This window comes from Homo sapiens, chromosome 1, assembly GCF_000001405.40.
Source record: "Homo sapiens chromosome 1, GRCh38.p14 Primary Assembly".
NCBI lineage: Eukaryota > Metazoa > Chordata > Mammalia > Primates > Hominidae > Homo > Homo sapiens.
In genome coordinates, this window is record NC_000001.11 from 113796983 (window position 1) to 113823846 (window position 26864).

The 26864-nt window shown below is 38.6% G+C and overlaps 2 protein-coding genes and 1 long non-coding RNA gene across 15 annotated transcripts in view, besides 9 other annotated features; 1 reads left to right on the plus strand and 2 right to left on the minus strand.

Annotated features, from left to right (window-relative positions):
* The window catches only part of RSBN1 (round spermatid basic protein 1), a 50645-nt gene extending 35151 nt beyond the window's left edge, over positions 1–15494 (minus strand). For all 3 annotated transcript variants that reach the window (NR_130896.2, NM_018364.5, XM_017001518.3), the window contains exons 1-2: positions 14728–15494; positions 381–1054 (exon numbers count right to left, since the gene is read on the minus strand). Coding sequence is in view for 2 of the 3 variants with exons in the window: in NM_018364.5 (NP_060834.2) it covers positions 381–1054; positions 14728–15430 (1377 nt within the window). In the remaining variant the exon portion in view is untranslated. The remainder of the gene's footprint in view (positions 1–380; positions 1055–14727) is intronic.
* Positions 7805–8099: an enhancer, noted in NCBI's record as "tiled region #4295; HepG2 Activating non-DNase unmatched - State 6:EnhF, and K562 Activating DNase matched - State 5:Enh". NCBI's record gives its function as "activates a minimal TATA promoter and a strong SV40 promoter by Sharpr-MPRA in HepG2 and K562 cells {active_cell/tissue: HepG2 | K562}" and the evidence as "EXISTENCE:reporter gene assay evidence [ECO:0000049][PMID:27701403]".
* Positions 14305–14834: an enhancer, noted in NCBI's record as "H3K27ac hESC enhancer chr1:114353909-114354438 (GRCh37/hg19 assembly coordinates)". NCBI's record gives its function as "activates a minimal SCP1, AML or CMV promoter by ChIP-STARR-seq in primed H9 embryonic stem cells {active_cell/tissue: H9 hESC(primed)}" and the evidence as "EXISTENCE:reporter gene assay evidence [ECO:0000049][PMID:30033119]".
* Positions 14305–14858: a biological region, named in NCBI's record as "H3K27ac hESC enhancer GRCh37_chr1:114353909-114354438".
* Positions 14559–14618: an enhancer, noted in NCBI's record as "active region_1534". NCBI's record gives its function as "activates an Ori minimal core promoter by ATAC-STARR-seq in GM12878 lymphoblastoid cells {active_cell/tissue: GM12878}" and the evidence as "EXISTENCE:reporter gene assay evidence [ECO:0000049][PMID:35858748]".
* Positions 14769–14858: an enhancer, noted in NCBI's record as "active region_1535". NCBI's record gives its function as "activates an Ori minimal core promoter by ATAC-STARR-seq in GM12878 lymphoblastoid cells {active_cell/tissue: GM12878}" and the evidence as "EXISTENCE:reporter gene assay evidence [ECO:0000049][PMID:35858748]".
* Positions 14835–15364: an enhancer, noted in NCBI's record as "NANOG-H3K27ac hESC enhancer chr1:114354439-114354968 (GRCh37/hg19 assembly coordinates)". NCBI's record gives its function as "activates a minimal SCP1, AML or CMV promoter by ChIP-STARR-seq in naive and primed H9 embryonic stem cells {active_cell/tissue: H9 hESC(naive and primed)}" and the evidence as "EXISTENCE:reporter gene assay evidence [ECO:0000049][PMID:30033119]".
* Positions 14835–15894: a biological region, named in NCBI's record as "NANOG-H3K27ac hESC enhancers GRCh37_chr1:114354439-114354968 and GRCh37_chr1:114354969-114355498".
* Positions 15239–15628: an enhancer, noted in NCBI's record as "active region_1536". NCBI's record gives its function as "activates an Ori minimal core promoter by ATAC-STARR-seq in GM12878 lymphoblastoid cells {active_cell/tissue: GM12878}" and the evidence as "EXISTENCE:reporter gene assay evidence [ECO:0000049][PMID:35858748]".
* Positions 15365–15894: an enhancer, noted in NCBI's record as "NANOG-H3K27ac hESC enhancer chr1:114354969-114355498 (GRCh37/hg19 assembly coordinates)". NCBI's record gives its function as "activates a minimal SCP1, AML or CMV promoter by ChIP-STARR-seq in naive H9 embryonic stem cells {active_cell/tissue: H9 hESC(naive)}" and the evidence as "EXISTENCE:reporter gene assay evidence [ECO:0000049][PMID:30033119]".
* AP4B1-AS1 (AP4B1 antisense RNA 1) overlaps positions 15630–26864 on the plus strand; it is an 88626-nt gene continuing 77391 nt past the window's right edge. The window contains exons 1-3 of the long non-coding RNA NR_125965.1: positions 15630–15843; positions 17405–17509; positions 18396–18490. This is a non-coding gene — a long non-coding RNA (AP4B1 antisense RNA 1). The remainder of the gene's footprint in view (positions 15844–17404; positions 17510–18395; positions 18491–26864) is intronic.
* Positions 16829–26864, minus strand: part of PTPN22 (protein tyrosine phosphatase non-receptor type 22) — a 57949-nt gene continuing 47913 nt past the window's right edge. For all 11 annotated transcript variants that reach the window (XM_047417630.1, XM_047417631.1, XM_011541225.3 and 8 more), the window contains 2 exons: positions 22595–22672; positions 16829–17987 (listed from right to left, as the gene is read on the minus strand). In XM_047417630.1, coding sequence (XP_047273586.1) covers positions 17923–17987; positions 22595–22672 — 143 coding nt within the window. In that variant the 3' untranslated portion in view covers positions 16829–17922. The remainder of the gene's footprint in view (positions 17988–22594; positions 22673–26864) is intronic.

Below are 26864 nucleotides of genomic sequence, written 5' to 3' on the forward strand. Positions count from 1 at the left end.
GGCCCATGCCCTCACGTGTTTTATTATGATATAAAAGCAAATCTTAACTAAAGTTATCCTGAGACTAACAGATCTCAATCACATCCTCCATACTAACATTACCCGATTTGTGAAAGACCAGGTAAGTTTTCAAGCTAGTTTTCCATAAAGATTTGTAATGATGTATAACATGTATAAAGCATTCCCTCCAGTAAAGAAGAAGCCCCACCCGAACTCAGTAATTAAGATTTTTCAATTAGAGGAAGAGACAAACAATTTGAAGCACCTTTATTACCATAAATTTGTTATCAAAAATGTGCTGGTATGTGCTGTGCGACAGAAAGAGGTTAATTCTGTTTAGAATCGTATTTACTAATTTTTAACAACAATTTTTATCTTACCTGAGTGTGAAAATTTGAAATGGTGGTTGTTTCAATATCTTTCTTGCCCAGAATTTCCATTTTCACTGGAGTGTTGGGGAAATTAAAAGCAAAGTAGTCCAAGAAGTCTGGGAGATAAGCAGCCGCTCCATGCACTATTGCTAAAGCATAGTAAGCAGCATTTTTCTCATTTTCACTGAATGTCAAAGCAAGAAACTCCTCAGAAAATCTCTCCATCTCCATTGGAGACAAAAATGAGAGTTCATCCATGTAAGCATGAAGGACAAGAGCACCACCATTGGACTGGTGTTCCTCATGAATAAAGTTGCTAAATTTAGTACCTGTTTTTAAGAAATTTCTACGAATAGAATGTTCCTGGTGAGTCATAAAAGGTGTTTGTACTCCCTGGGGTACCCGATATTCTTGCATACCCAAATTTAATCGGCACAGCTGTTCATCTTTCAGATACCTGAAGGACTCCTTATTAAGTCCTGAAGTGCTATTTATTTGTCCTTGGGTGAGAATTTCTTTACTGATGCGGGTCAGGCCAGCACAGACGGTTTGTACTTCCTTATTGTACATTTTAAGGCGTCTTCCTCGCATGTCTTCTCGGTGTTTCTTTTTCTTTTTCTTCTTTATTTTCTTCAAGACAAAATCATCGGCTCTCTGGGTTTTACCATTTTCATCTGGTGTTTCTGGCCACAATAATTAAAAAGAAGTTAGTTGCTAGGACTAGTGTCAACATACAAGCTTCTTAAGGTACTTGATCTCATTAAATAGCCTATCCTCAATTTCTCTGAATTTGCTATTACAACTTACGTGTTTAGAAAACAAATGAGACAGAGATCTTAAATATAATAATATTCTGGATTGAAGAAAAGAATAAAATTGAAGGTATCCATTTTTCAAAGCAGTATATTACTGATAATGGAGAAAAATCAGAAATAATTCACACATCCAAAAAACAGAGAATGGTTAAATAAATCATGATATAGCAATGGTATGAAACATTATACGATAGCTAAATATGATGATTCTGAAATCTATGTAACAACATAGATTCTTTTGTTCAGTTATCATCATAAAATTTAAATTTAAGCTAGGCATATTTTGCTGTCAGCCTATGAATTACTATGATACATACAGGTAAATCAACAAAGGCAAAGTAAGCCATGAGATATCATTTTTTCCTATCAAGTTGGCAAAGTCTGCGGTTTCTGGTCATTCTCAACTACTACTGCTGGAAGTATAAACTGGTACAACTTTCTGAAGGGCAATTTCATGATACATGTTAAAAGTCTTAAAAAATATTTCTAATCCTCAGACCCAGAAATTCCACTTCCAAGTAAAAGTTATCTAAGAAAATAATTGAAGATTATATAAAGATATCCATTACAGTATTATTTAAAACGACACAACAGGGAATGCTCCTAAATGTCTAATAACAGGGGACTGATTAAACTCTGGTAGTTACATATTATAAAACACTACTCAGCCATTGTAAAGTATATTATAGATGAAAAAACTGACATAAAAATTAGAAGGTTACAAAATGCTTAGACTCATTCTTTCAGAAAGCCTTTTCTTCCCCACCCAATCTGGATAGCTACTCCTGCTATGGGCTCCCTTAAGCTTTGTATCCCCATCTCAGCACTTATACTCTGTGTTATTAACATTTCATTTTACACCCTCCCCTAGACTGTCAGCAATCTAAGTTCAGTGATGTATACCTTACCTTTCTCTCCTGAGCACTTAACACATGTACATTCTGATCCCATTTTTATATAAACATTAATTCATCCAAACATTTAAGTACCTACTAAGTGCTAGGACCATAATGCTGACTAGGACATACACAATCCCCAATCTCTTGGATCTTTTTCTCCCCGCTTTTTGAGGAGTATGGAGTCTCCATATGTTGCCCAGGCAGGGCTCAAGCTATACTCCTGCCTCTACCTCCCTAAGTTCTGGGATTACAGGTGTGACCCATGGTGCCTGGCATCTCTTGGGTCTTATGATCTAATTGTACAAGAAAAAGAAAGTACCAGATAGTGATAAGTGGGATGCATTAAGTTTGGGGGAAGCTCTTTTGGGGAGGTAACATTAAGAGTGATTCCTAAAGAATAAGACAAGCCAGGCATGTAAAGGTCTAGGAGAAAATATTCCCAGAAAGAAGAAAAGGACCTAAAGAGATGAAGAAGTCTGTCTGATCTATAGATGCTTTACACACACACACACACACACACACACACACACACACACACACACACAGAAAAATATCTGGAGAAATATATACCAAGCTATTAATGGTAGTTATCTATTGGTGGTAGAATTCTAAATGTCTAGCTTTTCTGCTTATCTGTATTTTCTAATTTTCTAAAATAAACATATTACTTTTATAATTTAAAAACTTATTTTTAAGTTTTAAAGGATTATCATGGATTGACAAGCCCAAGATGGAATGGCATCTTTTGTTTACTAATTGGAAAATATACCTAGCAGGAAACTTTCAGGATTAAATACCAGGTAGAGTCCTGACGAACCTTCAAGTTTGGTCTAGTATTTACTGCATAGAATTTACCCACCAAACAATCGTTTTTTCTAACATAATTGAAGTAATTTGGAGTTAAGACAAATATTCCAATTAATCCTATTTTTACATCTAGAAAAACAAGTTCAACAAATTTTAGAGTTAAGAATTTACTTGGTACAATATGTAAATATATGACAGTTCCAATACTCCATATAAAATCACTTCAAGTCAATTAGCTACTACAAGGGTTACGAAACCTTCTAAAGAAAATACTTAAAAAAGCAAGTCAAAGACTTTACTAATGCCAAATAATATTTCCTTCTAAGAACAATAAAATGAAAACCGTTTATTTGCAAATATCACTTGTAATTAAACTGTAATAAGATAGCAAAATTTACATTTAATCAGAATACTGTTAACCTGGCAAGAGAAAAAGTCATCTTTTATTCTATATACAACTAAATATTTGAGATATTTGAGAATTAAACACTTAGTAATAGTCATTTATTTGGTAAGAAGTATACTTCTTACCAAATAAAATTCATCTAAATACTTTCCCCAATATCAAATCAGTAATTTAGGCAATTCTCCCAAGCAACTAAATGTTAATGCCATTCAATATAAAGGTTAGACCAATTTAAAAATAGTCATCTAATTACTCTCTTCTATTAATGTTTTAGCAATTTCACAGGAAAACAAGAAAAGAAAATATCTCCAAATAGATCTTGTTATTTTAAGCTTCGGAAGAGGTATTTGGTATGCAGAAAATGAATTGTGACCTAGATCTGCCACTGAAATTAGCACCAAGAAAGAACTGCGTTGATTGTAACACATTTTCTGTATTACTATCAACTTTCCAGTGGTATTTCTAACTTGGTCAAGTCTCTGTGGGTTTCACTTATACGAGTTTCACAAAATTCACTTATATGAAAACCATTCAATTAGTCCAACATGGCCCATCTCAAAAAAAAACAACAAAAAAAACAAAAAAAGAGAAAACCACTGTATAAAGAAAAGAATCTTACATTGTAATCTCATAAATCAACATGATAAAAATTTTAAATATGAAGTAAATTTCAATCTATCTTCTCACTAATCCTGTTTTTCAATTTTTTTTTTTTTTGAGACAGAGTCTCTCTCTGTTGCCCAGGATGGAGTGCAGTGGCGTGATCTCTGCTCACTCCAGCCTCCACCTCCCAGGTTCCAGAGAGTCTCCTGCCTCTCGGCCTTCTGAGTAGCTGGGATCACAGGCATGTACCACCACACCCGGCTAATTTTTTGTATTTTTAGTAGAGACAGGGTTTCACCATGTTGGCCAGGCTGGTCTCAAACTCCTGACCTCAAGTGATCCACCCACCTCAGCCTCCCAAAGTGCTGGGATTACAAGCGTGAGCCACGACGCCCGGCCTCAGCTTTTGACTTTTATCTAACTTAGGGTAAGATACAGAAAGCTTGACTTTTTTTACAGAGAAATTTAAGACTACCCATTTCATACTGGCTAACAAATCTCCATGAGTAAACAAAATTTATTATTGAATTACCGTGGTGGCAACTAATTGAGAATGGCATATGTATAAACAAGTTATCAAAGGTTATTATCAAACACTGGCCACTGTTGCTTTATGAGAAAAATAACAATTGCCCTGCCTTGAATTTAAAACGTTATTTGAAAGTCAGTGTCCAAAGTCTTCTTCACAACTTTTCTATTTCTGGTTTTAGCTTTCCAACAGAGAATCTATTCAGCACATTTTTAGTATTTCCCCATAGTGCAAAAGCTAAAATTTATTGACTACAGTTCTTTACAGAAAAAGAGCCAACCTACACTATACCTGTGATTAAGAAAAACTTTCACCTATCCAACTGTGTGATTACATATAAAGAGAAATACATAATTCTACAGAGGAAGATACATTCACTTAAGAAACAAATTGCTGGCTGTCTTTAAAAAGGTAACTATTAATACATGACGTTATTAATAAGATCCTCATATGTGCTAATACTACCAATATTATCAATTAATGTCATCTGATTTCACACAATTGAAAGTTTTCATTAATGCAAAAAAACAGCTTTCTATATTATTAAGTTCTTTTTTTTTTTTTGATAGGGTTTTACTCTCATCCAGGCTGGAGGGCAGTGGCGCAATCTCGGCTCACTGCAACCTCTGCCTCCCAAGTTCAAGTGATTCTCCCACCTCAGCCTCCCAAGTAGCTGGGACTGCAGGTGCACATCACCATGCCCAGCTAATTCTTGTATTTTTTGGTAGAGACAGGGTTTCACTATGTTGGCCAGGCTGGTCTCAAACTCCTGACCTCAAGTGATCTATCCGCCTCGGCCTCCCAAAGTGCTGGGATTACAGGCATAAGCCACCATGCCCGGCCTACAAAACTTAAGGTCTTAACAGCAATTCTTATACTCTAATTATGGCTTAGAAGTCGGAAAAAAAAAAAAAAGGTAGTATCTTCAGTTCGTAAAAATCACAGTAGATGAACAAAAGCAAAACAAGTGTAATTGCTTACATCTTATTATTCATGATTTTTTAAAGGACTAAAGTTGTTTCCTGAAAATAAATTATTTTCAGTCTTCTTGAGAGTTCTTCCAGTTCTATATAAATACCTGACTAAAAAGGAAAAACAAAAAACTACTCATTTTGAAAGCCAAACATTTGTGAATCATTGTATGTTTTTAACACTGCCTTACTTTACCCACCATCTCTCTATATTATGGTGTTTTAAGAGCGCTGTCTAGGTTTAAATCCCTGTTCTATAACTTTCTAGTATACTTTCTAGAAGTATACTTTCTAGAACTTTTTTTTCCCTAAGCCTTTACTTTTTTTTTTTTAGAGCAGTTTCAGGTTCCTAGAACTATAACCACACCTGGCTCCCACAAATGCATAGTCTGTCTCCCTGATTATCATCACCCCCAGCCAGAGTGGAATACTTGTTACAACTGATAAGTCTACATTGATGCATCATTATTCGCCTGCCCGCAGTCCATGGTTTACATTCAGGTTCACTCTTGTTGTACATTCTGAGGGTTTGGATAAATGTATGACATGTATCCACCATTAATTAAGTTGCATAAAGAGTAGTTTCACTGTCCTATAAAATGCTCTGTGCTCTGCCTATTCATGCAACCCTCTCTAAAACCCCTAGCAACCACTGATCTTTTAACTTTCTTGATAGTTTTGCCTTTTCCAGAGTGTCATATAATTGGAATCATAAAATGTGCAGCCTTTTCAGGATGGCTTCTTCCACTTGGTAATATGCATTTAAGGTTCCTCCATGTCTTTTTATGGCTTGATAGCTCATTTCTTTTTAGCACTGAATAATATTCTACTGTCTGGATGTACCACAGTTTATCCATTTACCTACTGAAGGACATTTTGATTGCTTCCAAGTTTTGGTAACTATGAATAAACCTATTATGAACACCTATCTACAGGTTTTTGTGTGGACACAAATTTTCAGCTCCTCGGGGTAAATATCAAAGAGTATGACTGCTGGATCGTATAGTATGTTTAGTTTTGTTAAGAAACTGCCAAACTGTCTTCCAAAGTGGCTGTATCATTTTGTATTCCCAACAATAATGAATGAGATAGCATATCTTTTTGCAAGTTAATTCTTTGCACTGCTTCTCATTGGTAAAACCGGAGGAAAGAACAGTATCTCATTATAAAATTAGTGTGCAGAGTAAATGAAAAACGCATGTGAAGTACTTATAATAGTCCTAGAACATAATAAATACTCAATACATCATAACTACTATTATTGCCAAAAACAGTTGAATTCTAGAGGCAGTAGAGTGTACTATTTAAGATAAGAACAGGTGCTGTACTGTTAGATAGACCTAAGTCAATGTCCCAGCTCTATTGTTTACTAAGGTCTCTGGGTAAGCTCATAAATCTCTTTAAATCTAAATTTTCTCATCTTAAAATGTTATAATAGGCCAGGTACAGTGCCTCATGCCTGTAATCCCAGCACTTTGGGAGACTGAGGCAGGAAGACTGCTAGAGTCCAGGAATTCAAGACCAGCCTGAGCAACACAGCAGGACCCCATTTTTACAAAAAAAAAAAAAAAAAAAAAGTTAGCTGGGCTTGGCGGTGCATGCCTGTAGTCCTAGCTGCAGGAGTGAGCTAGGCTTAGCTACAGGCTGAGGTGGGAGGATCGCTTGAGCCCAGGAGTTCGAGGTTACAGTGAGCTATAATCACTTCACTACACTCCAGCCTGGGCAACCCCGTCTCAGAAAAAAAAAAAAGTTATTAATTCTAGAGTCTATCTCACAGAGTTATTTTAAGAATTAAATGAGACAATGACTATAAGGCCCTCATCACAATATGTGACACACAATAAGTCTCTTATCATCTTGATTATCAAGAGAAACACATAAGAAAGATCTCTGAAAGAGGAAAGAAAACGTATTTGCCAAATGTCTAATAGGGACCATATATGTTATTTTATTTTAATCCTCAAACCAATGAAGTACGGAGAAAGAAACAGCCTGAAACAAGATATGTAATTTATATTAGGTCACAAAGCTAGTACACAACAGCCAAGATTCAAACTTCTCACCTATCTGACTCCAAAACAAATTCTTCTAACATACTGCACCCTACACTCTCTTCCTTTCCGCCTCCACTATCAGACATCTCCCTGCAACACTCCCATTAGATGATCAACTAAGATTATCTGGTTACAATTAATGGACCTGAGGTAGCTTGGAATAAAGGGAGTATTACTTCAACAAATATCTTACTTAGTGCCATTTCAAAAGTTTTCGTGCCCTTAAAGGTGTTTTTGCCTCTCTCAGGGTGAGCAGGGAAAAATATTAGTCCCTACAGTTGTTGTTCTGATAAATAAGATTGTTTATTTCAATTCCCTTATAATCCCAATAATTCTCCATTGCTAACATCAAAAAGAAGTGTTTCTGGACTTAAAATCCCTGCTTTTTGACATGAGAGAAAATTTCCATTAAACATCTGGCTCAGGAACACTTACACTCGGTGATAGCAGTTAGGCAACTGGTCAAGAGTAAAAAAAAAAAAAAAAATGAGATAAGAAAGATGACTCACAAGAGCATACATATGAGCAATCCGGTCATGTAATGACATTGGAGAAGACAGCCTATGGGGGCTGTCCTTCCTTTCTTTCCTTTTTAACAACATATTAAAATCATGAATTTACTAAGAATAATTAAAAAGAAGCATTACTTCTTTTCATGGATTTTTAAGGAAGTATGTTTGTCCTATTTTTTTTTTTGAAACGGAGTCTGACTCTGTCGACCAGGCTGGAATGCAAGTGGCGCAATCTCAGCTCAGTGCAACCTCCGCCTTCCAGGTTCAAGTGATTCTCCTGCCTCAGCCTCCCAAGTAGCCCAGCTAATTTTTTGTATTTTTCGTAGAGACAGGGTTTCACCATGTTGACTAGGCTGGTGTCAAACTCCCGACCTCGTGATTTGCCCACCTTGGTCTGGGAATACAGGCATGAGCCACCGCGCCCGGCCTGTCCTATGTTTTTATGAGCAATAAGAGGGAGAGAAAAAAATTAAGATTTCAAAACACATAGGTAACCTCCAGTTTAGTTACACTCAAGCTTATTCCCTATAAGAAATAAAAACAGCATTTAAATATCTCTGTTAAATAATCAACCCCAGTGTGCATAGCAGAAAGAGAGGTCAACTGGGCCATGAGGGAAAAAAATTGAGTTCTGTATTCAGCTCTATCACCAACTAAAAAATTTTAAGCATTTCACTTCATCTCTCTGAAAATCACTTCTTTCTGTTTTAAAGATGAACAAGTTTACCCTAGCATTTACAGATTAAATTTTTGTTTCAACTGTTTATGAACAACTCCAAATGTCTGAGATTGTAATAATTTGTAATTAGTCTCCACATGAATTCAGATTAAATACTGTTGAACTGCTGTGCAGGAAGGAACATGTCTCTTAAGTGAACTCAAGGGTGGCAAACTTCTCTAAAGAGCCGAACAGCAGGCTTTGCAGGTCTTATGGTCTCTGTCTCAATTACTGTATTCTGCTACTGTAGTGCAAAAACTACCATAGACAATATATATGAATGAACAGAGCTATATTCCAATAAAGCTTTATTTCTGGACACAGTTTAAATTTCGTATGATTTCCATGCGCTACAAGGTCGTTCCAACTATTTTAAATTGTAAAAACCATTGTTAGGCCAGGCACAGTGGCTCATGCCTGTAATCCCAGCACTTGTGGGAGGCACATCACCTGAGGTCAGGAGTTTGAGACCAGTCTGGCCAACATGGTGAAACCCCATCTCTACTAAAAATACAAAATTAGCTGGGTGTGGTGGTGGGCGCCTGTAATCCCAGCTACTCAGGAGGCTGAGGCATAAGATTCCCATGAACCCAGGAGGTGGAGGTTGCACTGAGCTGAGATCACACCACTGCACTCCAGCCTGGCACAGAGCGAGACTCTGTCTCAAAAAAAAAAAAAAAATCATTGTTACATTACAGGTTGTACTGATTTTTGAAAAAAGTGCAAAAGCAATTCAATGGAAGATTAATCTTTTCAACAAAAGGTGCTAGAGCAACTGGATATCCTTAGGCAAGAAGAAAAAAAATGGCGACCTAAACCTCACACCTGTACAAAATTAACTCAAATGGATGACAGATTAAAATACAAAAGTTAAAATTATAAAACTTTTAGAAGAAAACAAAGGAGAAAATCTTTGGGATCTAGGACTTGGTATGTTAGATATGATGCCAAAAACATGATCCATTAAAGAAAAAAAAAAACTTAGTAAATTGGATATCAACAAAATTTAAAATTTTTGCTCTGTGAAGTATCCCACTGAGAAGGTAGAAAGGACCAGGCACAGTGGCTCCTGTCTGTAATCCCAACACTTTGGTAGGCCAAGGCGGGAGGATCACTTAAGCCCAGGAGTTTGAGACCAGCCTGGACAACACAGAGAGACCCTGCCTCTATCAAAAAAAAAAAAAAAAAAAAAAACATTAGCCAGGTGTGGTGGTGCACACGTGTGGTCTCAGCTACTCAGGAGGTTGAGGTGGGAGGATCACTTGAGCCCCAGAGGTTGAGGCTAGAGTGAGCCATGATCACATCACTGTGCTGCAGCCTGGGTAACTGAGTGAGACCCTCCCCAAAAAAACAAAAACAAACAGGCTGGGCGTGGTGGCTCATGCCTGTAATCCCAGCACTTTGGGAGACCAAGGCGGGCGGATCACCTGAGGTCAGGAGTTCAAGACCAGCCTGACCAATATGGCGAAACCCCGTCTCTACTGAAAAACACAAAAATTAGCCGGGCATGGTGGCAGATGCCTGTAATCACAGCTACTCGGGAGGCTGACATAGGAGAATCGCCTGAACCCAAGAGGTGGAGGTTGCAGTGAGCCAGGATCGTGCTACTACACTCCAGCCTGGGTGACAAAGTGAGAATCCATCTCAAAAAAAAAAAAAAACAACCAAAATAAAAACAAGCAAACAAACAAAAAGGATGGAAAGACAAGCAACAGATTGGGAGAAAATATGTGCAAACCATACAAAGAAGCTGCACCTGTGATCTACAAAAAATTATCAAAACCCAGTAATAAAAAATATACAATTCAAGGGCCGGGCGCAGTGGCTCACGCCTGAAATCCCAGCACTTTGGGAGGCTGAGGCGGGTGGATCACCTGAGGTCAGGAGTTCGAGAACAGCCTGGCCAACACAGTGAAACCCCGTCTCTACTAAAAATATAAAAAAGTAGCTGGGTGTGGTGGCAGGCACCTGTAATCCCAGCGATTCGGGAGGCTGAGGCAGGAGAATCGCTTGAACCCGGGAGGCAGAGGTTGCAGTGAGCCGAGATTGCACCATTGCTCTCCAGCCTGGGCAACAAGAGTGAAATTCTGTCTCAAAAAAAAAAATTATATATATATATATATGTATATGTATACACACACACACACACACACACACACAAAATTCAATTAGAAAATAGGCAAAAGGTATAAAGAGACATTTTACTGACCAGGATATATAGACAGCAAATGATGATATGAAAAGATGTGTATTATCACTAGCCATTTGGGAAATGCAAATTAAGATCATGATGATGTATCACCACACGTCTATTAAAATTGCTAAAATAAAAATAGTGACAATACCAGATACTGGCAAGAATGTGGAGAAAATGGATTTCTCTTACACCGCTGACAGGAATGTAAAATGGTACCGACACTCCAGAAAATACTTTGGCAGTATCTTAAAAAACAAACAAACAAAATAAATATATATAGTCATCCTTGGTATCCATGGAGGATTGGTTCCAGAGCCTCCCAGGGCAACAAAATCCAAGATGATCAAGTCCTTCATATAAAATGGCATAATAATTGCTTATAACCTATGCACATCCTCCCCTATATTTTAAATCATCTCCAGATTATTTATACCTAATACAATGTACATGCTATATAAATAATTGTTATACTGTATTGTTTAGGGAACAGTGACAAGAAAAAAAAAGTCTGCACAAGTCCAGTACAGACAATGTTTTTTTGAAAATATTTTCAATCCCAGGTTGGCTGAATCCATTGATGTGGAACCCATGGATACAGAGGGCTAATTGTATTTACCATACGACCAAAGAAATGAAAAGTTACATGCACACAAAAACCTGAACACCAATTTTCATAGAAGCTCTATCTATAATAGCCAAAAACTAGAAATAATCAAAATGTCCTTTCTTATACGGGAATGATTCAATAGGTGAACCATGGTACATCCATACCATGGAACACTATTCGGCAATGAAAAAGAGGGATGGATCTCAGGGACATCACACTGAGTGAAAAAGGGCAATCTCCAAAGATCACATACTGTATGATTCAACTTATATAATAGTCTCAAAATGACAAAACAGGTTAGTGGCTGCCAGAGGACAGGGACAGTAGAGAGACAGAGGGAGTGCCTAAGGCTGTAAAGGGTTTGTGGTGGTGGAACAGTTCTGTATCTTGATTGTAGTGGTGGTTACACTAATCTACATATGATAAAATAGCATATAACTACATATACATTGTACCAATGTCAATTTCCTGGTGTTGATATTATACAATAGTTATGTAAGATGTAGCCACTGAGGGAAACTGGTAAAAGGTAAGGACTTGACTATGTTTGCAATTTCCTGTGAATCATTAATTATCTAAAAAAAAAAAACAGTTAAAATAGTTTCCAAAAATCTGAGGATAAGCGAAGGAAGGACATAGCTTTGTAAGTAACAAGAATCTGCCCACTCTCCTTATTAATCTTAGAGTTGTTTTAGGGACCATGCATAATAAAATAATAAAGGCCGGTTTTAAGTAAGTGCCTACAATGAGCCAGGCACTGCTGTAAGTACTTTCACACAATGCCCTATTTAATCCACACAAGTTCCTTATAAATGAAATACCACAACCCCATTTTATAGACAGGAAAAGTGCAGTTGAGAGAGGGTAAAGCAATTTGTTCAGGCTCACACAGTAAGTGTTAGAGCCATGATTTAAACTCAGATTAATACCAGAGGCATGCCTCCTGCATACCACTGTAACAATAAAGATGTTCAGAGGACAAAAAAGATATCAGTCAAACTATGTGCAAAAGCCTGGATTAAACAAAGTTAAACCAGTTTATTTTCTGTAGGGTTTTCAAAACTTTTAAAATGCCAGTTTGCCAATTCATGTTACATATGTAGAAGGCTACAGTACACAGTTTTTCTCAAATGTATTTGACCAAAAAATTCTTTTTCACCCAAAATATAGTTTGGGTATATAATCCAACAATCTCTCAGCCAAAAGTTAAAATGTTTAAATGGGCTTATCTTAACCCACTTCTCTTCTTCACATGTTGGCAAACTACAGATATTTAGAGTGGTGTTGTCCAGTGTGGTAGCCACTAGCCATATGTGACTAATTATAAATTAATTAGAATTAAATAAAATCAAAATTTCAGTTCCTCAATCATGCCACATTTCAAGTCTGTTCAGGAACCACATACGGCTACCATATTGGTCAGCACAAATACAGAAAATTTCCATCATCTGAGAAAGTTCTATCAGTCAGCATTAGGTCAGAAGTGTGTTTTTTAAAGAACATGGGGCCTGTGCAATCTTCAGAGAAAGATTGTAAATTATTACACATGTTATTGCCACTATCCCCCATAAAACGGGGCCAGGTCAGAGATCCTCGATGATATAAAGCCACTGTAATGTCAAAGCACAGGGAAAAGGTAAACAAAGGAGTGGAAAAAATGAATAGCAGGAAGAGAAAGCAACATCATGAAGCCTGGAGATGAAGCTTGAAGCAGGATTCAGGAGCCTGGGTTCTACTGCCTGTTATGCCAATATTCACCTTTTTAAAAAATATTTAATTTTTTTGCACTTCATGCGAATTAACTGTGATTTGATTGAACAGGCCTCTTTACTACTTTGGGCCTCAGTTTCCTTTTCTACAATACAAATTTAAGCCAGAGGATCACTAATTCCCTCTAGTTCTGTACAGTTAAAACACACACACACACACACACACACACACACAAGAAATGAGAAAGTAGGGAATAAAAGTAAAAATAAAAAGAGAGCAAGATCATTGCATATTGGTGGTGAAAACTGGCAGTCCTGTCATCTTGCCACAAGTTCTACTCCCAAGATTTGGATGCCACCAAATGAATAAAAATTTAATGCTATTCAATAAATACTTATTGAGCAATTATTTGCAACGAACTACAGTATTCGGAAATAGCACCACCAAAAAAAATGATTAGCCTTAAGACTCAATACGTGGAAAGAATGCAAGACTCACAAAACTTTAGGTTGAAAGATTGTCTCATTAACATGTAATAACCTAACTGGTCCAGTACTAAGAAACAAGTATTTCAAATATTCCTGAGGAAAAACAACTAGTAAATTATATAAAATAATATATAAAGTACAAACATACGGCATAATCAAAAGCATCACATTTCTTCCACAAAGAATATAAATAAATGCTACAGGTACTTGGGAACAGGAAGACATCAGTTCTGGCCAATCTAATTTTTCTAGAATCCACATTTAATTGGATACTCTGACATTTTCTAGTAAAATATTCTTGAGGGCTATTGGAATTAACAGATCCACAAAGTGTGCTAGACAGAATCAAATGCAACTGAAATTCCGGCCTCTACTATCTACTGCACAAATTCCCACTTTTCAGAGGCACTGTTGGTCCTATTTCCTAGTATCAAAGGGTAGAGAAAACCTTCCACATGCCTATTCTAAGAATTTAAATAGCTAATATGAAAACTTTAAAATGATTTTTACCTCTAGATTAAAAAGAACCAAGATAAACTGCGTCTGATATTTTACCTTGCAGAAGCTAAGTCAACCAGTGAGTCGTGTAACCTTTATATGAATTCCCTCCTGAAAGACTGGAACCATACCCCTGACTATTCTGGAGCAAGGGAGAGCAGATAACTAAAGCTCTCCAGCAAGCAAAACAAGGAGAAGGGATTTTAGGAACATGCCTTTTCTTTGGAAAGGCATTTTTTAGTACCCCACCTACTAATCTAACGCGGCGCGGAAACCTTGCAGAATTTGAAAACAAATGCTGAGAGGCTCCGGGGGACCGGTAAAGGGATTAGCAACTGACAGCTCGGCCTCGGAGCGAGAAGCCTCAAGTAGTTAGATCAAACCGTGTCAACGATCTGAAATCCAGGGTCCACCCCAGTGAGCTTAGAGAAGTACAGCAGCAGAAGGTAAGCAGGGGTTTGGCGTCTTTCAGTCCTAAAGATGCGGGATATCGGAACTGAGAGAGACCTAGAACCCAAGCCGGGCAGTTTGCCTGCTCTCACCTCTCTTGGGGGCTTTGATCAGAGGCACCCCTCCAGTCCTCTCGCCGTTTTCCTGCTTGTCCTTGTGCTTGAGATCGGTTCCGCAGGAGCTGGGATCACCATCGGGGCCGCGGTGGTGATGGTGCTTGTGCCGCTCCTTGTGGCCCTTATGCTTGGGCCCGGCCGCGCTCACCGTCAGAGGCGAGAAGGTGAAGAGGGCCGAGGTGCTTGGGGCCGGGAGAGGGGCAGCGACAGCGGGCCCGGCGGGTGCCAGCGAAGGTGGCGGCGGAGGCGGCAGGAGAAGAGGCTCAACAGGGCCTGGGACAGTTGGGGCTGCATTCGTTGGCGGCAGCGGCCCAGGATGTTGGCGGCTGCGACGCCGCCGGTGAGGGGGAGCGAGAGGGGGCTCCTGGCTCGGCCGCCCCCGCTTCTCCTGAGACCCCCCACTGCTAGATCGGCGCTGCCGTTTAACTCCCCGCGGGGAGACCCCAGCATGAGGTTTCTCCTTCCCCTCTTTGTCCGGCTCCTCCTGCGCCGCCACCGCCCGTACTACGCGCACCGCTCCGACCTGCGCAGCCATTTCACCCACAAACACACATTTAAATGGCCCGACCGCCCCCCCGTCCGCGCATCGCGCAAGCGCCGCCCGCGCACTGCCCGCTGGGCATTGGAGTCTCTCCTCCGCCCTCCACTTGTCGGCCGTTCTTCGTCCAGAGATGAACATGCCGGAAGCGGCCGTTCCCAGCTTTTCTCCGCAGGCCTCTCCAACCGAGCTTCTATTGTAAAGCACCCTATGCCGCGCAAAGCGTCATGGGAGCTGTAGTTCCGCCGCGCCCCCGCCGCGTCCCCGGCTCTGAGTGGAGGAGTGGAAAGGGAGCGTGCGCGAAGTCACGCTTCTGGCTGCGACGCAACCGCCGCTGGGCGGTGAGTTGCCGCCAACCGCCCTAACGGCCGAAACAATGTTAATGGCTTTCAGAGTCTGGCGGCGCGTTCCCATTATCATCTTCCTGTGACCCTTCCTCATTTTACACGGAGGAGGTGGTCTCCACAGTGATTTTAAATTTAATATTTCTCTCATAACCTTTGTGAGATAAAAGAATCTTCATCCTTTTAACTTTGACGAGGGATGAAATGAAGGTGAAAAGAGGATTTAGTAATATGTAAAATAAGGGTGGTTTTGCTGTAAAAATATGATAGGGCCGCAATTCAGAAATGTTTTCAAGCATCTGGGGCATTGCTATGGTTACAACTACAGGCCTACGAAGTCAGGTGCGAGAACTGCTTGGAGTCCTGGTGAGGACGGCCCCTCCTCGCCATCCGGCCACATCCCCTCTAATGCCTGGAAATGTCCAGCATTTATTTTGAATATATCCCTACAGTTGCGAAAAATTGTAGATGGAAAACCACGTTTAAGATTTTTTATAAGTTTTTTTTTTTCAAATCTTAAGGATAAGATTGCATAAATTTGAAAAGTGTGCCTACCGGAGAACACACCAAAAATCATCACTGCTCACTACGGATAGTTGTTGCTCAGAAATTCATTTAGAATTTCATCCTCGCTTTAGCTTTTACCTGGGGTTCTTTTAAGTATTTATTTAGAGACGGGCGGGGCGGGGCTCGGTGTCTCAGGCCGGTAATCCCAGAGCTTTGGGAGGCCGAGGCGGGAGGATTGCATGAGGCCAGGAGTTCCAGATCAGCGTTGGTAACATAGTGAGCCTCTGTCCCTACAAAAGTATTTTTTAAATTATCTGGGTGTCGTGACACGCGCCTGTAGTCCCAGGTACTCGTGAGGCTAAGGTGGGAGGAGTGGTCGCACCACTGCACTCTGGCCTGGGTGACAGATCTAGACCCTGACTCTTAAAAAAAAGAGACAAGGTCTCGCTCTGTTGACCAGGCTGGCCTCCAACTCCTGGGCTCAAGGAATGAGTAGCTGGGTCTACAGATGCACTCATGGTGCCCTAAGTAACTCATGGTTACCTAGAATTCTTTTAGTATATTTGTTTATTGATAAAGACATTTGGAAGTAATTGATTACAATGATATATACTCAGCAGATAAAATTACTGTGGTTTGATTTCACTAGTTTCTGGAGAAGTATTACCTAAACACTACTGCAATGAAGTCAGTTTAACAACCAAAAAGTTTATTGAGTGTCTGTTGGATACATTGTACTACAAGAGACAGATAATAATACTTCATTCAATTTGCCCTATTGGACTTCCAAATGAAAAATACTGAAGAACAAATGATGTTTAAACAATACTACATGTTTCTAAAAGTTATAAATAAAGTTATTTAAATAAAAATATTTTTAATGCATTAGGGGAAGTCAGGTGGATTCTTTGTAAAAACAATTACCTGCCAATTTATTTACTACATAAAATTAGAGTTGAACTAGATTTTCTTATGGCAGATCCATATTCATATAGAAATTCATTTTAAACTAGTATTTCTGATTGGTTAGATAAAAATTGCACATGATCTGAAAGATCCTGTATAAACATATACAATTTATATCTTTTGCTACCAAAAGATAGCTATTATATTTCATTGATTACTTTTCTAGAATTGGTAATTTAATGACTTTGGTTAAAACTTATCAGGATTTCAGTTGAATTCCTTGTTACATTCAAATAATTGTCATTATTTGCACATTTTATTCTAATAAATATAATTTCTCATTTTCTTAATATTCCAGTTTTCCACAACATTTGGGAAGATTTACAAGGTATACTCCATTTAGGCAAAAATAACTGTCAGGGAATAGTCATTGTCAAGAGCAGTTTGTATTGCAACCCACAAAGTAAGTTTTTTTTTTAACTTTTTATAGTATATTCTGGCAATGTAGAAATTAGTTGAGATCCAAATCTTACAAACCTTTTGAAGTTTATGTTTATGTAGAAAAGTAAAAGAAAATAAAAATAACTGGCAAAAATGAAAAATAAATCCATTCTAAAAGTGTTTCTCATATAGCATTCTGTACATAAGCTCAAGTGACAAACTTTTATTTGCAGTTTTCAACTCAATGCAAATGATATGAAAATGCAAAACTGGCACTTATTGGCATTTTGCTTTTCTTTTAAAAGCTATTAACACATTAGCATATCTTCATATTTGATATTATGCATATAGAGCACTTATTTTAACTAGCAGTATTCTAGTAGTTTTATTTGCAGGTGTACTTGCAGCCCATATTATTATAAATCTGGAGTTTTATTAAATATTCCAAGTTGGTGGTGGATTCCTTGGTCCTTTGGGTTTTGAAAAACGGTTTGCAAAACCTGGGAACAAAAATAAAGTTGAATGAAAAGAAAGATGTTTTAAGTATAGAAATGAATACTTGGATTTTAGAGTATATTATAATATATGCAAATACATGGTCTTTTTTTAAATGTTAGGCAGCATCTTGACCAGTTTAGTAATAGATTATAAAGGGATTGTAGTAATCTAAAGCTTAAATGATAACAGAATACTAATAACACTTTAAATTTGAAGAGCACTTACAAATTTAATAATGGTAATAATAGAATGTAGGACCCTGGTTATATATAGGCTTTGATAATTTAGTATATAATATCATTTGTCTATGACTTTTTGTCATCCACTCCATCCCATTAAATGAAGTCAGGAAATTTTAATTTCACAAAAATATAGCACCGTTACTTATAACATTATTGTATTACATCTAGTTATACCTCTATGTCGGTCCAGAAATCCTTCAATTTACCAAGAGATTATGTTTGAAAATCTTAGAAAAAATAAACAATCCTGAAAAACTAAGTAGGTAAGTAAACATTATTATTTATCTTTCTTCTTCAAACTTGTTCCCCCTACCCCACCCCAAAGAAGGAGGATGAGAAAATTTTTCACAACTAATGAAGGCTATTTCTGGATGCTTTCAAAAGATGTGCATGTTGATGATGTTGGTTCTTTATCATTTCAGCAACATGTGACTTTATGACTTTTCTTTTTGATGGTAGTGTCTTTTTGTTTGTTTGTTTTTTGTCTGAGACAGAGTCTTGCTCTGTCGCCCAGGCTGGAGTGCAGTGGCGCGATCTCGGCCCACTGCAACCTCCGCCTCCCGGGTTCAAGCGATTCTCCTGCCTCAGCCTCCTGAGTAGCTGGGATTACAGGCGCCAGCCAACATGCCTGGGTAATTTTTGTATTTTTAGTAGAGATGGGGTTTCACCCTGTTGGCCAGGCTGGTCTCAAACTCCTGACCTCAAGTGATCCACCCACCTTGGCCTTCCAAAGTCTGGGGATTACAGGTGTGAGCCACTGAGCCAGGCCTAATGGCAGTGTATTTTTAAGTTATCTTACACTTAGCAACTTTAGGGACTTAAAGTAAGAAATGAAATGTTTGAAGTATAGGGGAATAATAAAATGAAAAACTCAAAGATATACCTAAACCTTTAATTTCATCATCATACAAATTGTATTATCTACCTTAAAAAACTGATGTAAGGATCAAATGAGATATTTGTGTAAAAAGCGAATGGGGCAGGGTGCAGTGGCTCATGCCTTTGAATAATCCCACACTTTGGGAGGCCAAGGCAGGTGGATCGCTTGAGCCGAGGAGTTCAAGACCAGCCTGGGCAACATAGTGAAACCTTGTCTCTACAAAAAAACACAAAAAAATTAGCCGGGCATGGTGGCTTGCACCTCTGGTCCCAGATACTCAGGAGGCTGAGGTGGGCAAATCATTTGAGCCCAGGGAGGTCAAGGCTGCAGAGGGGAAAAAAAAAAAGAATTGAAAAAAAAAAACAGCATCCAGCACAATGCCTGGCACATAGTAAGTACTCAAATGTTCCTCAGGCCAGTCATGGTGGCTCAAACCTATAATCCGAGCACTTTTGGAGGTGAGTATGGAGGATAGCTTGGGGCCAGGAATTCAAGCCTATGGTAACTACTCAAATGTTGCTTAAATTTCAACCCAGAAGCCAGGCGTGGTGGCTCACACCTGTAATCCCAGTACTTTGGGAGGCTGAGGTGAGTGGATCACCTGAGGTCAGGAGTTCAAGACCAGCCTGGCCAACATGATGAAACCCTGTCTCTACTAAAAATACAAAAATTAGCTGGGCATGGTGGCGGGTGCCTGTAATGCCAGCTACAGGGGAGGCTGAGGCAGGAGAATCGCTTGAACCCAGGAGGCTGAGGTTACAGTGAGCTGAGATCGTGCCACTGCACTCCAGCCTGGGTGACAGAGCAAGACTCCATCTCAATTTAAAAAAGAAAAAATTACCAACCTAGAAAACTATGCCAGAACTGGAAGAGAAGGAGAGTAGGGAAGGGGAAAGAAGATTCAAGAAAAAAAAGCACATTCAAATTTGTTAATGGTGATGATAAAAAAAAATTGGTGGAGGGGACACACAGCCTAGTTGATGTACATTTTACTCTTCCGAGTGGCAAGAAAGAAGATGGAAGGAATACTTTTGGTTAAATAGTTTCACACACAATAGTCAGAATCATCCTGTCAGTACAGATCACTTGATTGTAACCCAAGTGGACTAGGAATAGAGATAAGGACATATGTTAGTATTGAGTACCTAAAATTTTAGGAATGCATATATTTGATCTCTTTCACTGGTCAATTCTCAGTAGCTTAAAACAGTTTCGAGCTACCTTTTTTTGCATGTGGGCCAATTCAGGGAAAATAAACCTGAATCATAAATTTTTTCATTCAGATTTAAGTACTTTTTTGAGTAACATGCACTTAAATTGATATTGCCTTAAAAAAGTAAGTGCTGATTTTTGGGTTTTTTTTTCCAAGACAGAGTCTTGTACTGTCGCCCAGGCTAGAGTGCAGTGGCATGATCACGGCTCACTGCAGCCTCAACCTCCTGGGCTCAAGTGATCCTCCCACCTCAGCCTCCTGAGTAGCTGGGACTACAGGCACATGCCACCATGCCTGGCTAGTTCTAAAAAAAAAACATTTTTTTGTAGAGACAGAGTCTCACTGTGTTGCTTAGGCTGGTCTCAAACTTCTGGCCCCAAGTAATCCTCCCTCCTCAGCCTCCCAAAGTGCTGGAATTACAGGCATGAAAATGCTGCTTTTTAAGTAGGAAAAATGTTCAAATCTAGGCATATTTGAGAGGAAGCAACATGGAGGCAGCTCTCTAATATTTTATCCTCATATTAGATTATGTAGACTGTTGTTAAGCTAGGTAGGCCTAGAGTACTCAAGTTGTATCACTGATTTAGAGTAAAGAAGGAAGCAGAGAACATTTATGTTCCAGGTAAAGTTGGGAGCTTTTTTCTTTTTCTTTTTTCCTTTTTTTTTTTTAAATGAGATGGTCTTGCTATGTTGCCCAGACTGGTCTTCAACTCCTGGGCTCAAGGGACCCTCCCACCTCAACCTCCCAAAGTGCTGGGATTATAGGCATGAACCACCTGGCTTGCTTTTTTCATAGTTTTTACAATATTCTGTGTGAATGTTTTAGCTAAATGATTTCATATAAATCATAACTTATTTTTTAAATTATAACTTTTTTTTTTGAGATGGAGTCTCGCTCTGTTGCCGGGATGGAGTGCAGTGGCGCAATCTCAGCTCACTGCAACCTCCGACTCCCTGGTTCAAGCGATTCTCCTGCCTCTGCCTCCTGAGTAGCTGGGATTAGAGGCATGTACCACCATGCCCAGCTAATTTTTGTATTTTTAGTAGAGACAGGGTTTCACCATGTTGGCCAAGATGGTCTCGATCTCTTGACCTCATGATCCGCCCGCCTCAGCCTCCAAAAGTGCTGGGATTACAGATGTGAGCCACCCCTCCCAGCCTAAATTATAACTTTTTAAACCTCAGAGTTAATGAAATCCAAACAAAATTTTATGGCAAAAAAGACAGATCCAGAAATTTTAGTTAAACATTTTGTGAAGATGACACAGGGACTCTTAACTTAGGCGTGGCAGAGATTGCTCCCCATCCACCAATATCTTCTTTGCTTCTTCCTCAAATAGAATTGTGTGTAGGCAATTTTGTCTGTCTGCCCAGCAATATTACATTTCCCAGTCTCTTTTGCAATTTAGTTATAGCACATGTCTAAGTTCTCTTCAAGGGAATATGAGCTGATATGATCTGGCCATTTCCAGGCCAGTGCCTTTGAAGACCAGAAGAGTAAGAAGAGGAGGCCACACCTCCACTTTTTCCTCTTTTCTTGCCACCTACAGTCTGCATGTGGCGGCAACCTAATTTTGATTGTGTAAGTAAGGACAATACCATTAAGTGGCAGTTCTCAAAGTGTGATTCAGGGACTCCTGGAGGCCTCACACTCTTTCAAGGGGATTGGTTAATAATAATTTTTAGTAGTAATAGCCTACCACTAATTGCTATTCTTACAAAAAATTATACCTGATACTACTTTAAATAGTACATAAATATGTATCACATAGGACAATAGAATGCTTAGAAGAATATAAAATTATTGTTTTAAGTTTATAGCTTATACTTAGGAGCAATTGGGTAAGCAAACCTTAAAACCGTCAGAATTGTGCTTCATTTCCTACTATTGAATTAGTTATATAAGATTAAATAGTGGCAACTGCTGTTCTTTTTATCATACTTCTATGTTTTTTATAAATTTGCTTTAGATATGAACCAGAATATCACAGCATCTCAATTTCTCCATTTGGATAGTCATATTTATTTACTACATGCCAACACAATAATTTGGTTACCTAGCTTTATTTTCCACATATACTAGATAATTTAGTTCTGTGTGAGATGTTAAGAGGTAGTTAAGGTTAAAAATAAAAAGATAAATTGCATGGAAAAGAATATAAACATAAGGACCTATACATGCAACCTAAAATCATATTTAAAGTTGAATCAGTTATACTGTAAATGAGTAATTTAGGTAATTTTTTTAACTCTTCAGTAAAATAACACACATACCAAAATTCAGAAATGAGCTGGAGTTATTTGACTGAACAGATTCTGCAGGCTTGTTTGGTGGGCAAGAATTACAGATACCTAGAATCAAAAGAAAAAAATATAAGGGAAAGACTAAAGACAGACTCAGATGACTGTTGATCAGATCACATATAATTGTTAAGAGTAATTAATAATCCCAAATAAACATATCACTGTCAAATGTTAACAAAATGTAGGTGCTTACAAATGGGTTGACACTATAATATTCTCATTTGTATTTTTGGTTTTTTTCTTAAAAGGTTTCTTTTCTTTGCAAACAGATTGTATAGTAAAGCCCAACACTAAAGAAAATTGCTAAGGAAATAAGATCCAATATATCATGAATCAGCATTTTTTTGTTTTTTTTTTTGAAATTCACATTTTGGCTTTGGACTTCATATTACTTTTTCCTCTGGCCACTCTTAGTACATTTTTACATCATTTCTTCTCCACAATAATTCATCCATGACAAGTCTTTTATTTGTATTATATAATCCTCTACCCTGGAATCTCTTTTTTTATTCCACTTTCCAGCCTGATTTTTTTCTAATTATAAGTGATTCTAATTTAGGCCCATAACCGGGCACGGTGACTCACGCCTGTAATCCCAGTACTTTGGGAGGCTGAGGCAGGCAGATAACTTGAGGCCAGGAGTACGAGACCAGCCTGTCCAACATGGTGAAACCCCGTCTCTACTAAAAATACAAAAAAAAATTAGCGAGGCATGGTGTTGCAAATCTCTAATCCCAGCTACTTGGGAGGCTGAGGCACAAAAATTGATCCAACCTGGGAGGCAGAGGGATGAGGTGAGCCCAGATTGCGCCACTGCACTCCATCCAGACTGGGTGACAGAGCAAGACCCTGTCTCAAAAAAACATAATAATTATTATTATTTAGGCCAATAATCTCCCAAAAGCATTGTTATGCTGCTTTGTTTTGCTATTTTAGTTACTTATAGGTATAAGTTAACTTATAAGTTACTCATAGGTCATATATGTACATTGATATATTCATGTATCAGTTTCTGCAGTTTTGAAAACAGTCCCTTAAAAACTTTGTCCACATTTTGCACATTCTCTGTCTTGGCAATGGAAAAAGATAATTTCAGGTTTGTATAAACTTTCTAACAAATTGCATATAAATGGGAAGATATTAAGTGTTTTTGTGTTGTTTTCAACATTTTCAGAATGCACTGTGTGAACTGCATATGCATATTAGGTATGCATATTTGCACATGCATACGTAATACTAGGATTCTAGAAACACCTTCCTTTTCGAGGAGGTACCTGAGTATGAATCACTAGACTACATACTGAATTTCAATCAGATCTAATTAAGATACATATTTATTTTGTACTTACTATATTACTATAGTAAGTATAATTATTATACTTAATATATTAAAATACTTAATATAAAGTATAAGTATAAAATACTATTCATATTTAAATACTTACTATGTGCTAAGCATTGCTGTAGGCACTGAAGATAGAGACATTAATAGAAAGTAGTAAAGGTGAGGAAGTTCAGGAGATATCAGTAATCTGTATACTGCATAGGAGCTGAAAGTTATATACATCCTTCAGAAAGAAAACAAAATTGTCTCAAAGGAGAATATTGTTTTTTTTACAAAGGAGGCACAGATTCCACACATATATATCAGAGGAAACTGCTATTTTGTTATTTTGGCTCATCATGGATTTTTTTGTTTTGTTTTGTTTTGTTTGTTTGTTTTGGGGTTTTTTTTGAGACAGTCTCACTCTGTCGCCCAGGCTGGAGTGCAATGGCACAATCTCGGCTCACCACAACCACCGCCTCCCAGGTTCAAGCGATTCTCCTGCCTCAGCCTCCCGAGGACCTGGGACTACAGGTGCATGCCAACACGCCTGGGTAAATTTTTTGTATTTTTAGTAGAGATGGGGTTTCACCATGTTGGCCAGGCTGGTCTCAAACTCCTGACCTCGTGATCTGCCTGCCTTGGCCTCCCAAAGCGCTGGGAATACAGGCATGAGCCACTGCACCTGGCCTATCATGGATATATTTATGCTGCCTGCCTAAACTTCATTCCCTCTTCTGATAATAGAACTTGAATTTTCCTTTAGGAAACTACCCCTCCCCAGTTTTCAGTTCCCGTGCTTCCATTAGAGCTGATTGTACCTTTAGATTAAGGAAATGACCTATAACTAGGGCTGATTTTCAGTTGGTATATTGGCATGGTCACACCAGATGTATAGGTCTGACCTCATTCCTGATTGGACAGTGTCCACATGTAATAAGTGTTAAATATTAGGGCATGACACTATCCTGCCTAATCAGAACATTGACTATAATTGGTTCAGGGATGGGCAAATGAACCAAGTCAAGACAATCAGACCCAGTTGGCACTAGTCATCACAGTGTGGCTTGAAAACCAATAAAGAGTTATTTTTTTTCCATCATAAGCCTGAACTCACATGATAAAAACCTGCCTATGAATGAGTTAACACAGAGTGAGACTAACCTGAGAGACATGAAATGAGAATTTAGGTTCTGATTACATCATTTGGACCATTGTTACAAGCCAGTAAATTCCCCTTTTCTGCTGAAGTCAGCTTAAGTTAGGTTTTCTGTCACTTGTAACTAAAGGATTTCTGAGCAATTAAAGTTTCCCACCAACAGTTGACAGCTTCCACTCTTGTCACTCTATAATTCATTCTGTATGTAGCAGCCAGTGTGATCGTTTTATACTTTTCTGTGAAGCATGTTTAAAAATAAATAGGAAACAGAGCATGTAACATCTCTGCCTAAAACCCTTTTATGGATTCCCATTACACTTAGAATAAACTAAACTACTTACCATGCATGACCCATAAAAATCTAACTGCTCCTCCCTGATCTTTCCAGCTTCGCCTTACTCCTGTCTCCTCTTTACTTACTACCCTGCATCTAAGATGGCTTCCCTTTGAGTTTCTACAATACACCAAAATCTCCTACCTCAGAGATTTTGTTCCCTCTATCTGAAATACTCTTCTCTGGACCCTTTGGCTGGCTGGCTGCTCCTTCATGTTTTGGGTTCAGTTGTCACTTCCTTAAAAAGGGTTTCTTGGGCCGGGCACAGTGGCTCACAGCTGTAATCCCAGCACTTTGGGAGGCCGAGGTGGGTGGATCATAAGGTCAGGAGATCAAGACCATCCTGGCCAACACGGTGAAACCTTGTCTCTACTAAAAATACAAAAATTAGCTGGGCATAGTGGTGTGCGCCTGTCATCCCAGCACTTGGGAGGCTGAGGCAGGAGAATCACTTGAACCTGGGAGGGGGAGGTTGCAGTGAGCCGAGATCGCATCATTTCACTCCAGCCTGGGCGACAGAGCTAGACTCCGTCTCAAAAAAAGCGGGGGCTTTCTTGGACTACTCATTCTAAAGTGGATCCCCTTTGTTATCCTCTCATAGTTACCCTTTTGTTTTCCTTCATAGCATTTATCATGTGTTATTAAGTATATATTTGTGAATATGGTCAACCAAATTTTGTTTAATGTTGTTTGTTTAATGTTGGAACCCCTCACCAAACTTACATTCCACAAAGGCAGAGCCCATATCTGTTCTGTTCACCATCATATACCAAGTGCCTTACAGAATGCCTGGAACATAGTAGACACTCAACAAATATTCATTGAATGAATGAATGAATGACACTAGGCTTAGATACTAGCTTAAAATAACAGAAGAAGAATCCTAATTTCATTAAAAGTAGGACCAGCTTTACAGACCAGTGGGAGATCCAGGCTACAGGGAGAACACATGGAATTCCAGAATCATGAACCATCTGGAAGGGGCTGAGGACACATATGAAGTACAGTCTAAAGCTTCAGGATCAATTTTGGGAGCCAGATGTTCTTCATTTAACGGCAAAAGACCAGAGGATCAAGGTAACTGAAAAATACAGCACAGCCCAGATCCAGAGAATGAACTGGGAGCTCTTACTTAGAAATAAGACTCAATCTCTGAAAGTTCCACTATACCTTCAAAGCTGTGCCAACCTAAATCTACCTGAAGTTTCTGTTTCTTTATTTGATATTCTAGGCAGAGTTAGAGCTAGAGAAAGAAAACTGTTTTCTGAGTTAGGTGGATCAAACCAATCTTTGGTTAACCATTTAAGTCACTCATTTCTTTGCACTTGGCTGTTTTATTTCCCCTGTTTCCTACCATAATTTCCATTTGAAATGTTTAAATTCTCTTTTGACTCTTTTTAGGAGAAAAGGTATGTTTTCCAAC